This window comes from Homo sapiens, chromosome 8 (assembly GCF_000001405.40).
Source record: "Homo sapiens chromosome 8, GRCh38.p14 Primary Assembly".
In the NCBI taxonomy this organism is placed as follows: domain Eukaryota; kingdom Metazoa; phylum Chordata; class Mammalia; order Primates; family Hominidae; genus Homo; species Homo sapiens.
Window position 1 is genome coordinate 70,222,975 of NC_000008.11, and position 14,280 is coordinate 70,237,254.

The 14,280-nt window shown below is 37.8% G+C and overlaps 1 protein-coding gene across 44 annotated transcripts in view, besides 1 other annotated feature; it reads right to left on the reverse strand.

The window, feature by feature from the left end:
* Positions 1 to 14,280, reverse strand: part of NCOA2 (nuclear receptor coactivator 2) — a 346,665-nt gene that overhangs the window by 113,193 nt on the left and 219,192 nt on the right. The window lies entirely within an intron of this gene.
* Positions 8,980 to 9,481: an enhancer, noted in NCBI's record as "NANOG hESC enhancer chr8:71144189-71144690 (GRCh37/hg19 assembly coordinates)". NCBI's record gives its function as "activates a minimal SCP1, AML or CMV promoter by ChIP-STARR-seq in primed H9 embryonic stem cells {active_cell/tissue: H9 hESC(primed)}" and the evidence as "EXISTENCE:reporter gene assay evidence [ECO:0000049][PMID:30033119]".

Genomic DNA, 14,280 nt, shown 5'->3' on the forward strand with positions numbered 1-14,280 from the left:
CTTATATATCGACGTCAGCTGGTGCGAATATGGCCAGGAATAGCAAGACTAGGTTTTAATGAGGCCTCAGATGAGAAAACATCGCAGGAAGAAGCTGCATTCCTTGCATAACGTAAGCATTTTCTCTCCCCTTCAAGCAGAGTGTACTCAGTGTCTTTTTATTATTCTGAAAACCAGTTTTCACCAAAGGCTTAGCATTCTGGAAAGAAGTCATCAAATCAAGGACTACAATGTAGCACTTGTGTTTGAGTTTCATAACTTGTCCAGACTAAAATTCAATTATCTTTCTTCATTCTGAAACCCATTTTAAATTTTGTTATGAGATTAAAAAATGACTTTCTAATTCCTGAGAAAGTTAACTGGCAAGGTCAAGACAGTCTGTACCTATACAAAGAGTGTTTTTATCATTTGAGTTGTCAACAGTTCTTAAATAAATGAGAGTTCTCTCTCACAGCATAATATGTTGTTTGGTTTTTTTGCTAACATTTATTGAAGACTTATTATGAGTTAGGTTACTTAGCACATATTTCCTTGCTTAAAAGCCACAATTTGATATGTATGTATATATACATCTTATAGATTATCTAACCTCTCCGACCTGTTTCCTAACAGGTCACACAGATCACGGGTGTAATGATAATAACCATCATCCATGGAGTGTTTCTACATTGGTTGGCGTTTTCTACGTACTTTACCTGTATACACTCCTTTAGTTCCTGTAACAGCCTGATTATCACCATTGTATAGATGAGGAAATTGAGGTACACGAGAAATAAAGTAACTTGAACAAGGCCACACAGGAAGTCTTGGAGCTCATGAATCCAAACAGTTCCTCAATTCTTAACCACTGTAATGTGGGCATTAAAGGGTCCTATACTTTGACACTTTCACTGAAGAGAGAAATTTATAAACTAGTATGTATTACAGGAAGCACTATATTTTAACTTAGTCAACAGTGACTATGTAATTTGAAAGCACTTTTCTTTTTCTTAAAAACAGTATCACTGTGAAATGTAAAACACTTCTTTCTGTTAAACAGTGCATATGTTAGAATCATGTATCCATTTATTCAATATATAACTAATGCTCCAGGCACTGCTGCAGACACTGGAGAGAAAGTCATGACAAAACAGCTAACAGTCCCTGTCCTCCTGCAGCTCACATTCCAGTGCAGAAAAGATGTCATGCTCAGCTCATGCACAATTATTCCCCGAAGATAAGCAAATATTTTTGTTATTACTGAATTTATTATGAAGCTATTAAATAAGACACCAACTAGAAATTTTATCTGGCATACCAAGAATGCTCAGTTTCACTTAAAACAGTAAAAGCCTTTTCTTCTGTTTCAGAAATGGTAATTGGTTAATTTAAAAAGTCAGTTATGAAGGGTAATTGTAAAAATGATACATACTACACCTTAATAATTTCCTTTTAATTTTAAACATATAAATGTAACTTTGAGTCTCAGTCTCCACTGGAGTTTCACAGTGTCCTTCTTGCATAAATCATACCTATACCTATAATTTATCATCTAAATAGTGGGCAATAAAAACAGTGTCTACTCTCCAATTTCTGTTTATTTAAAACAGACCTAGAACTTATAGACACTTAGATTTCTTAAAAGTGCTTATAAGGTGCAGATTTGTATGATTTTTTCCCAGTCTATTAGACATGTGTTATGTGTCCTATACACCCATTTGGCAGCAATGTTTCTTCATTTCACTTTGAGTCTTAGTTTTCACAGAAACAAATGTATCTTTTCAAACTCACACTTGATACGTTACATATATTTAATTAATTTATTATATTACATATATATTAATTAAATTATGTCATTATAATAAGAAGTACAACTGGCAAAAACTGTCCAGGAAACAAGAATCTGGCTCTTGGTAGGCATACAATATCATGGCTAGGCGCAGAGTGCCCCACTCCCTGCCCCGCTCCTCCCTGTCCTCCTGCTCCTCTGTTCCCCTACCCCTCTCCTCTCCTGTCCAGAGTCTCAGTCTCCACTGGAGTACTTAAGTTGCCCATCATCCCGAGACTCTCAGACAGCGGCAGCAAGAGGACATGATCTATTAAGGGGGAATGCAGATCACAACAAATATTAGTGAATACCTATTATGCACCAAGCAAGGTTCTAGTTATTGGAGAATATAGCAATAAACCCAATAGACCAAGTCACTGACTCTTATATTCTAACAGGAAAGTAGGGAGAGGGTGGGGAATAGTAAAACAAACAAAATATTTACCACATCAGATAGTGATTAGAGGTATAAAGAAAAACAAGGTAGGGCCAGGCGCAGTGGCTCACGCCTGTAATCCCAGCATTTTGGGAGCCGGTGCAGGTGGACCATGAAGTCAGACGTTCGAGACCAACATGACCAACATGGTGAAACCCGCCTCTACTAAAAAAATACAAAAATTAGCCGGGTGTGTTGGCGCATGCCTGTAATCCCAGCTACTCAGGAGGCTGAGGCAGGAGAATCGCTTGAACCCCCCAGGCAGAGGTTGCAGTGAGCCAAGATTGTGCCATTGCACTCCAGCCTGGGCGACAGAGTGAGACTCTGTCTCAAAAAAAAAAAGAAAAGAAAAGAAAGAAAAGAAAAGAAAAAGAAAAAGAGAAGAAAAACAAGGCAGTAAGATTAAGAGAGTATAATGTAGATGGGGTGAGGGATACTATTTTACATAGGTAGCCAGCAAAGTCCTCTCAGATGAGTGTTATCTGAGAGCTTTCTAACAGATCTCTAAGATTCATAATATAATTTCTTTAATATACAACCATTAATCATATGAAAAGCGGTACAATGTTGTGGCCTAGATCACATTCTCTGGTGTCAACTCTGGCTGGAAATCCCTAGAACACTACATATTTGACCCGTGGCAAGTTATTTAATTAACCTCTTTGGAGCTTTGTTTCTTCATTTGTAAAACTGGAGCAATAATACATACCTTTATAGGCTTGCTGAGAGCATGAAATGTTAAGGGCACAGAAGAGCAGCTGGCATATAGTAAGGGCTTATTTAATAAACATAAACTGTTATCTGAATTTAATAGACTATAAATGTTTATAAAATAATCTAAATTGATGGTGAATTTGGAAAGAAAAATTAATTTAAAAAGAAAATTAAAAAATTAAAAATTAATTTAAAACAGAAAAGTTATCAAAATATTAGCAGTTAAATTATTTCAATGGGCATTACGGATGTAATTTAATTTTTGTATTTTCCAAATTCCCTTTCATTAACACATCAGACTTTTGTGAGTTTATAATAAGAAGGAAGAGGGAAAGAACAGGAGGGAGAGAGGAAAGAAAGAAAGAAGAAAAGGAATGAAATAAAGCTGACTGTGCTGCTGGGAAAAACAAACAAACTAAAACCTAGGCAAACCAAACGGAATTTTTAAAGTAACCTGCTCTTTGGAATATAAACTGTAAGTGTATGAATTGTTTACATGCTTATTTTCAGAAAAAATCTTGCAACAACTGAGGGAAACCTATACTGTACTAAGTGGCACAAAGACTGCCTACAATGAATGAAATGAGAAATCAAATCTCATTTTACTGGTATTAGCAATGAAATTTCAAGTAAAAATTATTTTCTTTGGTAAACCAAAGGATAATTCTATAACAATTTCCAACCTACTAAATCTGTATAACTATACTTAAAACTTATGTTTTAATTATTTATATATATATATATATATAAAACTATACTTAAAACTTAGGGTAAACTTATATTTATCCTAAGTTCTTCTGTATAATATAGACAGATACTTAGATATTTTAGAGTCATTAGCATATCATATGTTCTTTAACTATATGGACTTCTCATGTTTTTTCTTCTACCAACTCTTTCAGAGCAAGAAATATATCTAAATCACAAGAGCTTTCCAGTAAAGGTTACTAAAATTGCCCTTCTATCTCAGAAAAATCTGGTCTATCCTTCCAAAGCAGCTCAAAGCATACTCCCTTTACGCAGGCTTCACAGATTCCACCAGGAAGAATTAAAGGTTCCCTTTTACTTTTTCCAAGCCCATGGTATGTTAAAGTGAAAGTAACACTTTTTTAAATGCCTCCTGATCAGCTGCCTCTTTCCCAGGAGAGGGTCCACGGTTTTGTTGGCACCCACTGTCACCATGAGGCAGCCCTTTGTGGGCTCCAGGCAGGCTCATGCTGCTGCCTCCCACTCGAGTGTCTCTGTCAGGGATGGGCCTTAAGAAACTCACTCCTTCTTCCCTTTTGTCCACTGTCACTCATTTAACTCCAAACTTTCCTGTGGGTTCTTTACCTCAATCAAACAGAAAAGCACAGTTTTGCCTCTGCAAAACTTTCAAGCATGTTGCATGAAAAAAGTACAGGACCCAAATTTAATAAAGGCTTGTGGTTTGATAAGAAATAAGGGACACAGTTATAGGCTGTTTTGGCAGTGTAAATAATGCTTCCTTTCTAGGGTGAGTGTGTAAGAAGTATTCTTCTGAAATACCTTTTTATGCTCTTTTCTCTGTTTTCCACCACACTTCTACAGTGGTAAAAAATAACAAGAAGGAAAAATCTAGTTTGGGGGGACCTCTGAATCATTTTCTTACCATACAAATTCCTAAAAACTTACTCTTCGTCAGATCATTACAATTATTCTGAACACTACTTGCTATGAGGCAATGGTTGACATTAATAATGAAAATGGCAGCTCTAGATTAACAGAAGCTCCCCTGCTCCAAAAAGATACCAATTTTATCTCATAAAAATAAACCAAATTAGGCCGGGTGCAGTGGCTCACACCTGTAATCCCAGCACTATGGGAGGCAGAGTGGGGTGGATCACCGGAGGTCAGGAGTTTGAGACCAGGCTGGCCAACATGGTGAAACCCCATCTCTACAAAAACACAAAAAAATTAGCCGGGCATGATTGCACGCACTTGTAATCCTAGCTACTTGGGAGGCTGAGGCAGGAGAATCACTTGAACCTGGGAGGTGGAGGTCGCAGTGAGCCATTGCACTCCAGCCTGGGCGACAGAGTGAGACTCCATCTCAAAAAAAAAAAAAAAAAGCCAAATTAAGCATTTTTATTTGCAAATAACACATCCCTACAGAATGTTTACTGAGAATTACTAGAACTTAGAAAGTCTTTTTTACAAACGGAATTTGAAAATTACCTTGGCACCTAAAAATGTGAATCAAAACCCTTAATTTAACAATTTTTTCTCCCTCAAATGATGGATTTTGGTAATCATCAAAACCAGCCATTCTGTAAGATCACGATTTATATTTTAGCTATTTTAAGTTTCAAACTTGAGACACAGGCAAGTAGCTGTCAGCAAAAGCATAAGCATATTGCTATCATTGGGATTGTACAGTGGAGTCCAATTCTCTGACCTCAGTGTCAGAGACTGGGGGGACCCTCTAGTTTTGGCAGACAAACTTTGTGAAGAGCACAGAATAGCCTTGGCAAGCTGCCAGTGGAGGGTTTTCTCCCCTTTATAGCCCCAGATGGAGAATTATTACGCTTTGTGGAACTAAATATGTAATTGGATTCAAGAAAGGTAGCTTCTAGTTATCCCTTGAGTAGTTAATAAGGGTGGTCTACAGTAGGCATTAAAAAGATTAAGGAAAATTCCTTCTATTTTTTATGTTGCTCTCTACCTGTTTCTTTTAAATAGTCCTAAGACGTTTTTCCACTGAGAGAATAAAGAACAATTGTTTATAAAAGCTACACCTATGGATAAAGATCTCTAAGATTGCTGCACCCTATTTAGCTATAACTAGCAAGTAATAAGCATGGAATGAAACTTGAAAGAAATTGAGATAATTGCTTGACGCCTCAGAGACAGCTAGCTATATTATATTCCTTCTGCCTGATACTAAAATGAAATTGATAATAATCCATCAAGCTGAAATTTAAACCCTGGTTCTAGTTGGGATAGAATGACGTGGAGAAAACTAAGCTAGCTCTCAGAGACACCACGACACAGTATATACGTGTTCATAGCACAAATATATGATTTCTTTAGTTGGTATTTTCTTTCAAGTCAATGTTTCTGAACCAAGAGCAGTGACTATTATATTTAGGGCAAAAATATATTTGAACAATCTAATGTTATATATGGTTAAGTTTCTAATTAAAACAGGTCTCTTTTGGTATTAAAATACAGCCTAAATTACAGGCTTTTAACTTAAAAATCTATTTGCATTTATTTTCTTCTGATATTGAATTCAACTGTACTGATAATTATTGAGTAGCTGCTAAGGGCAAAATGCTTTGCTCTATGGACACTGCAATACAGTCACTGAGTAAATAACAGAATTTGATCTCATGAAATGCAAGACTTAGGAAGAAGATACAAGTATGGAATTAATTAACATACAAGACAATATACATAAAAAATACAAAGTGCTAACGAAGGAAAAATTACTTCCTTCATTTGGAAGAGTAGGCAAAGGTTTTATGAATGCCTGAGCTAGGTTTTGAAGAATGGGTATAATTTTCCAAAGTGAAGGGGAGATGGGTGAGCATGTATAAGAGAACTTCAGGGCACCAAAGTGGTACAGTTACTAAAGAGTGAGACAATGCTAGAGTTGTTGTGGGGAGCCTGCATGCTGGGATGACCATGGGATCCGGGGATTTGGGAGTGTGGGTCCTTCCCCTCCTCACTTTCCTCTTTCCCCCAGGTTACTGCCAGGCCCTGGACTGAGTGCTGACTGCATCCTACCTGAGCCAGCACGACCCCAGAACCATGCTTATCAAAGGGTCACCTGAGAACTGTCAGAAATGCACTCTCTGGCTCTGACCAGACCTGCTGAAAGGAGACTTCGGAGGTGAAGCACAGCATCAGCTTGCCAAGCCTTCCCCATGATTCTGATGCTTGCTGAGATGTAAGAACCGCTGCCCTAAACTTTAGAAAGAAATTGTCTTGCTCTATGGGTGACCTGAAATCTGACTAACACATAGTGTTATCTTCCTCTCTGAGGGAGAAGGAAAAGAAGAGATAAGGTAGAGTATATTTAATTCATTTAGTTCATTTATTTACCAGGTATTTAGTTAGGCACTTACTTTGTAGAGTCTGAAAACCTTAACCCCCAGAATAAGGAATAGCTCTTGTCAATTTAATAAACTGTGAGTACAATGAAAACTTTTGAGCTGAAGATGGTAAAGTCACAGTTACGCTAGAAAGATTAGCATGGTAGCGGTCTAAATGACGTTTCCAGCAGTGTAGGGAGGAGATACTGGAGACTCATTAATAGGATACTGCAAAAGGCCACATATTGTATGGCTGCATTTATATGAAATGTCCAAAATAAGCAGATCCGTAGAAACAGAAAGGAGATTGGTGGCTGCCAAGGGCTGGAGGGAAGGGGAAATGGGGAGTAACTGTTGAGTACAGGGTTTCTTTTGGGGTTGATAAAACTGTTCTGAAATTAGATCATGGTGATGGCTGCACAACTTGCAAATAAACTGAATACTCCTGAATTGTACACTTTAAAAAGGCTGAATTTTATGTGAATTATATCTCAAGAAAGCTATCATATGAAACAAAAAGAACAAAACCAACAGGCTTAACCTGGCAACACTGTGCAACAGATAAATAGATAGTTTGCAAGTATTTAGAAAACACACTGGGGATTACTATGAGCAAGGACTTCTCTAGCAACATTCATCCCAAATGAGTTTTCCTTATTCTTTTTGCTAAAGAGATTAGAGTAAGAATTTTAATTTTTTAAAGCTTACTTTTTGCTTAATAAACATGCTCCTAGTATACAATTTAGAAAAATACAAAAACACAAAAGAATAGAATAGCACATATTCCTACCACCCAGAGAACAATCAATAACTTAAAAAATTTCCTGCTCAGTATTTTAAAATGTAAGTGTGTATACAATCAAGCACAAAGTGTATATATAATTTTATAGCTGGGTCTTTGTTTTCTTAATGTTATCCACCATGTCATTAAATGTCTTTATAATTTTCAATGGCTCTGTGATATCCCATCATATGAATATACCATATTTAACCATTTGTTTCCATTTTTGTGACTATAAGTAACACTGATTAATATCTTAAATATGTCTTGATCCACATTTCTGATTATATACCTACAATAGTCTTAGAAATGTAATTATTAGATCAAAGGGTCTGACCATATTTAATCCTATTTATGTACTGTCAAACTGTTTTCCAAGAAGACTGTATTAATTTACAATCCCCTTAGCAGAGTATGCGAGTTCCCTTCTCACAATTCACAACGAGTATTAAGATGTTTTAAAAATGCTTTGCTAATTTAAAGATTATGGTGTGACACTGTTTCACAATTTAAACTGATTCCTAGTAATTGAATATCTTTGAATTGTTTTAGCACTTCATTTCTACTCTGATGAAAGAATGCCGAGTCAGGTATGCCATAGGTGCAATATGTTGAGGTCAGCTAGGCATGTGATGTAATGCTGTTGTGCAGATGAAAGCAAAATGTGGGTTCCACTGGTGGTCTTCATCTTTGGCCACTAATCAATCACCCAAGGAGCTTTTGAAACCATAGTTTTCCTGGCTCCGCCCCAGACCAACTAAAGCAGAATCCCTTGAGGAAAGACCCTAGGAGATCAGCTGAAACCTACTGGGCTAGATGACAATGGAAAACTGAGTTAAGGCTGGTGGAATAACCTGCTGGGTGTTAATAGGATATTAATCCTGTCTGGTTCTCCTGACAGGCCACCACTTCCCTGCAGTCCACTCCAGTAGAAGCTGCTGTCCTCTCATTACACGTGTAGTGGGGATAGTAGGTGGGGTCACCCTCTCCTCACTCCATTACAAAGATGCCCTTATATAGAATCTTTCCTCCTCTGAAAAAACCCTCTCTCTACCAGTACCATAGAACGCCTCTATCTATCTTCCTAAGTTCACCAACATGCAGCTTAATCCCCCACAGTTACTGAAGCATTCTGCCATCAGACTAGCGCTTCCTCTCTAGCTCAAATCTGGTCATCATTCTGAGTAATTTCAAAGACTGTGTGGATGAACTAATGAGTATCCCGCAGGTCCTTGTCTGTCAACTCCAACGAAGTTCACCTCCCCTCCACTTCGGCCGCTGCCTTCTATAATCATGCCCTGAACCTTGTTATTACGCAGTACTGTTTCCATTTGAACACCATTTTTTTGGTCCACAAACTCCTAGCACACTAGCTTTCATACTGTCTTCCTCCCCAACAGTCTTCAGTGTATGCCAGCCCCTGCCCCTTTCCGTCATTCTCAAGCTAGAGCCACCTCCCCACCTGCAGCCACCTCAGTTCTCTTTCACACCACCCTCTCATAGAATTCTTTCTGCAAAACTTCATTCCCAAGTCTTTCCACCATAAGGGGAAGCTGAGCACTGATGGAGAATATCAAGCAACAAGGGGCAGAGGGGCCCCAAAGATTTCAGGGTTTCTAAAATTGCCCAGGCCCTTAGTCCTGCCTGTCAATCCTTTACTTTGTTCTCAGCTTGTTCTATTGACCTCAACAATTATTTCCAGCTTTTGCCACTTCAGTAAATACCCGTTCAATTTGATTTTCCTCAACTTCCCTTCTTCCTGCTTAGAAAGATAGCCAACTCCATCTTCAACATCACTTCTGGTGTCTCAGAGAATGTGTGATCCTTCTGCCTGTAAACACTAACTACTCCAACCCCATTTCTATTCCCCTCCTCACCTTGGGAGACCCTGCTGCAATATTTCAACCTCTTCCTCTCTACTTAATGCATACTCAGGTCATTTCCATCCTTTAAAATAAAAATGTTTCAAGGATGAGCTTAAATTCCTCTCCAACTACCATTCAATCTCAAATCTTCCTTCACATCCAGACCTGTCTAAAGAATACAAAGGTCTGGGATTCCTTTATCCCCAAACACTGGGGACCATATGATTTAGAATTTACACACACACACACACACACACGTGCGTAGATATACATATATATATATTTCATTCTAGAAAGATAATACATGTCGGCCAGGCGCGGTAGCTCATGCCTGTAATCCCAGCACTTTGGGAGGCCAAGGCGGGCAGATCACAAGGTCAAGAGATCAAGACCATCCTGGCCAACATGGTGAAATCCCATCTCTACTAAAAATACAAAAATTAGCTGGGCATGGTGGTGTCCGCCTGTACTCCCAAGCTACTCAGGAGGCTGAGGCAGGAGAATCGCTTGAACCCAGGAGGCGGAGGTTGCAGTGAGCTGAGATCGCACCACTACACTCCAGCCTGGGTGACAGAGTGAGACTCCGTTTAAAAAAAAAAAGATAATACGTGTCATATACCATATTTCATTATAACCCCAGAAGGGTCTACAGAAGCATTCTATAATCAAATTCAGTATTATTTCTGCAGTGAAATGTATGAATATTCACACTAAATGAAACAAATGATTATAAATCATCTCACATCCATTCAGGTCAGGTTTTACTGCCAAATGAATTACAAAACACCTTTCCATTTTCAGTGTGCTGAATTTTGAGATTCAAATAAGGGAATACAGGCATGTAGATTATTCTCCTATTCCCTTCCACTCACTCTATGACCCAAAGATATTGTATCTCTTCCCATATTACCCCATTAAATCTGCCCTCCCTAGTCTTCCATGACATTCAAATGCCAACCTACAGCAATTTGGGCATACTGTATGTTGTTACCAAACTTTCTGCTGTGTTTACCACAGTTAAAAATCACACCCCTTCCGTGGTTCCTCCTTTAACCTCTCCATTTTGTGGCTTTCATGACACAACAATCTATAGGTCCTCCTCTTACATAATTATTCTTTTTCAATCTCTTTTATGGGATCTTCTTCCTTTTTGAAGTTATCCAGGTTTCCATCTGGCTAGTTCTCTCCTCATTCATCTCTATTTTAAAAATTATTTTTAACAGCTTTACTGAGGTCACATGTCGTAAAATGCAGCAATTTAATATATACATTAAAAAGTAGTTTTAGTGTATATACAGGGTTGTGAAACCATCACCATATGTAATTCCAAAGCATTGTCATCACCCCAAGAGGAAACCCCAAACTCATACAATTAATCCCCATTCTCTCCTCTCCCAGCCCCTCACAGCCACTGATCTACTCTCTATCTCTATGGATTTACCTAATATGAACATTTCATATAAACAGAATCAAATAATATGTGACCTTCTATGTCTCACTTGTTTCAATTAGCATAATGTTTTCAAGGCTCAGCAACACTGCTGCATGTATCAGTACTTCATTTCTTTTTATGGCCAAATATTCCATTGTATAGCTATACCAAATTTTGTTTACCCATTACTCAGTGAATGGACATTTGGGTTGTTTCTACTTTTTGGCTATTATGAATAATGCTATCATGGACATTTGTGTACAAGTTTTTACACAGATGTATGCTTTCCATTCTCTTGGATATATAGCTAGGAATGGAATCGGTGAGTCATATGGTAACTCTATGTTTAACTTTTTGAAGAAATGCGAAACTACTTCCCAAACTTGCTACACCATTTTACATTCCTACCAGTAATAAACAAGGATTCCACTTTTTTTTTCAAATCTTCCCCAAACCTTGTTCTTTTTGTTTTCTTTTTAAGTTATAGCCATCCTACTGGATATTAAGCAGTATATCTCATTGTGGGTTTGATTTGCCCTTCCCTAATAACAATATTGAGCATCTTTACTTGTGTTTATTTGGCTATTTGCATATCTTCTTTGGAGAGGTGCCTACTCAAATCCTTTGCCTGTCCCTAAAATTAGGTTCTCTGGTCAGTGATTCTTAACAGCTTTTGGGGTTATGAACCTCTCTGAGTACCTGACCAAGGCCAAAAAGTAAAAGCACACACATACAGAATATGACATACAACTTTTCCAAAATGTCACTAACTCACTAAGACCATTTATGGATCCTCCAGATTAAGAACCCCTGTTCTATACCATAGGTTCCCAACCATGGCTGCATAGATAAAAACCATCTGATTTTCATTTTCCATTGCCATACAATCCATCAATTCTACCTCCACACCCAAAAGATGTGAACTTTATGTGCGACTCAGACATATGTACATCCATGCTCTAAGCAGCATAATAGGTGAATAGGCTTTGCTAAAGGTGAAAACAACCCAAATGTCCATCAACATATGAATAAACAAAAGGTGCACACACATATAATAGAATATTATTCAGCCTTAAAGAGGAGTATCGTACTGATACATGTTAAAACATGGATGAACCTTGAGAATACCCTAAATGAAAGAATGATTTCACTAATATGAGGTACTTAGACTGGTCAAATTTATGAGACAGAAAGAGGAACATAGATTATCAGGGGCTGGGGAGTGGGAGGGAATGGAGTTATTAATGGTTTCTATTTGGGATGATGAAAAAGTTCTAGAAATGAATAATGGTGATGGTTGCACAATACTGTTCATGTATTTAACATTCCTGAAATGTGTACTTAAAATAGTTACAATGGCAAATTGTATGGATATTTTACCATAATAAAAAATTTAAAAAAATATTTAAAAACATCCAAGATAACCAGGTACCACTCCAGACCCATCAGATCAGAAATTTTAGAGGTGTGGTATGACCATCAATACTTCTCTTAGGCCAGGCGCGGTGGCTCACACTTGTGATCCCAGAACTTTAGGAGGCCAAGGCAGGAGGATCACTCAAGCCCAGGAGTTAGAGACCAGCCTGGGCAACAAGACAAGACCTTGTCTCTACAAAAAGATCAAAAATTAGCTGGGCATCGTGGTGCACACCTGTAGTGTCAGCTACTCGGGAGGCTGAGGCAGGAGGATTTCTTGAGCCCAGGAGATCAAGGCTGCAGTGAACTATGATCGCACCACTATGCTCCAGCCTGGACAATAGAGTGAGACCTTGTCTCAAAAAACAAATTTTTTTTCTTAAAAATTTTCCAGATAATTCTGATGTTCAACTAGGATTAAGAACTGCTGCTTTATAGTATCTTTGGTGGTATCAGTTATCCCTACGGGTTTCCCACATCTTTCCAGCCTTCACCTCTCAAAGCTTTCACCTTAAAAATCATGCCGCCTGCTAAGTGACTACTCAGAAAATTAAACACATCCATTTTTATTCCCCGCCCCCAAAATGCCCCATGTGTAAGATGTCAATCCACTGAACATCCTCCTTATACTTCTGTATTCTTGTCAAATCATCAATAAGATATCTGTGCCTCTCCAATATCCTCAAGTCTCTCCTCTTATCACTTTGCTAATCACTACTACTTCTATTTTAGGTCTTTATCACCTCTCACCTGGATTATCCAAAATAAGTCTCCTTATTTCCAGATAACTTCCTTGATTAAAATCCTTCAATAGTCTTCGCTCCCTCCAAGACGAAGTCTGTGCTTTCTCAAACGTAATACAAGGTGCCTTATGATCTAGCCCATACCTCTGTCTCCAGGTTCATTTCTTGACCTTTTCTGTTTGCCCGGGAACTATAAATGCACATGGTTCCTCACTTACTACATACCAGCTCTTACCTAAGTTCTTTTGCTTGTCATATATGCAATAAGCCATATATCTTGTCCTTTTGGGTAACTCCCACTCATCTTTAAGACCTAGCTCACATTGACTCTTCCTCCCAAGATTAAATTCCCCTCTTCTGTCTTCTAAACGCCTATACAGCTGGCCCTCTCCGTATCTGTGGTTCTGTATTCGCAGATTCAGCCAATCTCAAATTGGAAACTTAAAAGAAAAAAACAACAATAAAAGTAATACAAATAAAAAAGCAGTACAATATAACAACTATGTGCATAGCATTTGCAATGTATTAGGTATTGTAAGTAATCTAGAGATGATTTAAAGTATATGGGAGGATGCGCATTATATGCAATTACTATGCCATTTCATATAAGGGACTTGAGCATTGGTGGACTTGGGTCTCCACTGGGTTTCTAGAACCAATCCCCTGTAATACTGAAGAACAGTTGCATATAACTCTACCATTAATCATGTATATCATAACTATCTTATTTATGCCTTTTCCCTACCATATTTTAAGCTCTTTGAAAGACAGAAAGGAAGTATTTCTCATTGTAAAAAAATCCTAGGCCCTTATTAGAATGCCTGATGCACAAGTACTTAATATTCATGGAATAAATTGCTTTACAAACTGCTATCGAGTTTGAAGCTACTTCACCAAAATAGGTAGCATCGTTGAATATTTACTATGGTATAGTAGTATACTTGTATTATCTTATTTGATCCTCACAATTAACTGTATGAAGTAATTATTATTATTCCCTGAATGAAAATCCAAGTAACATGACTAAG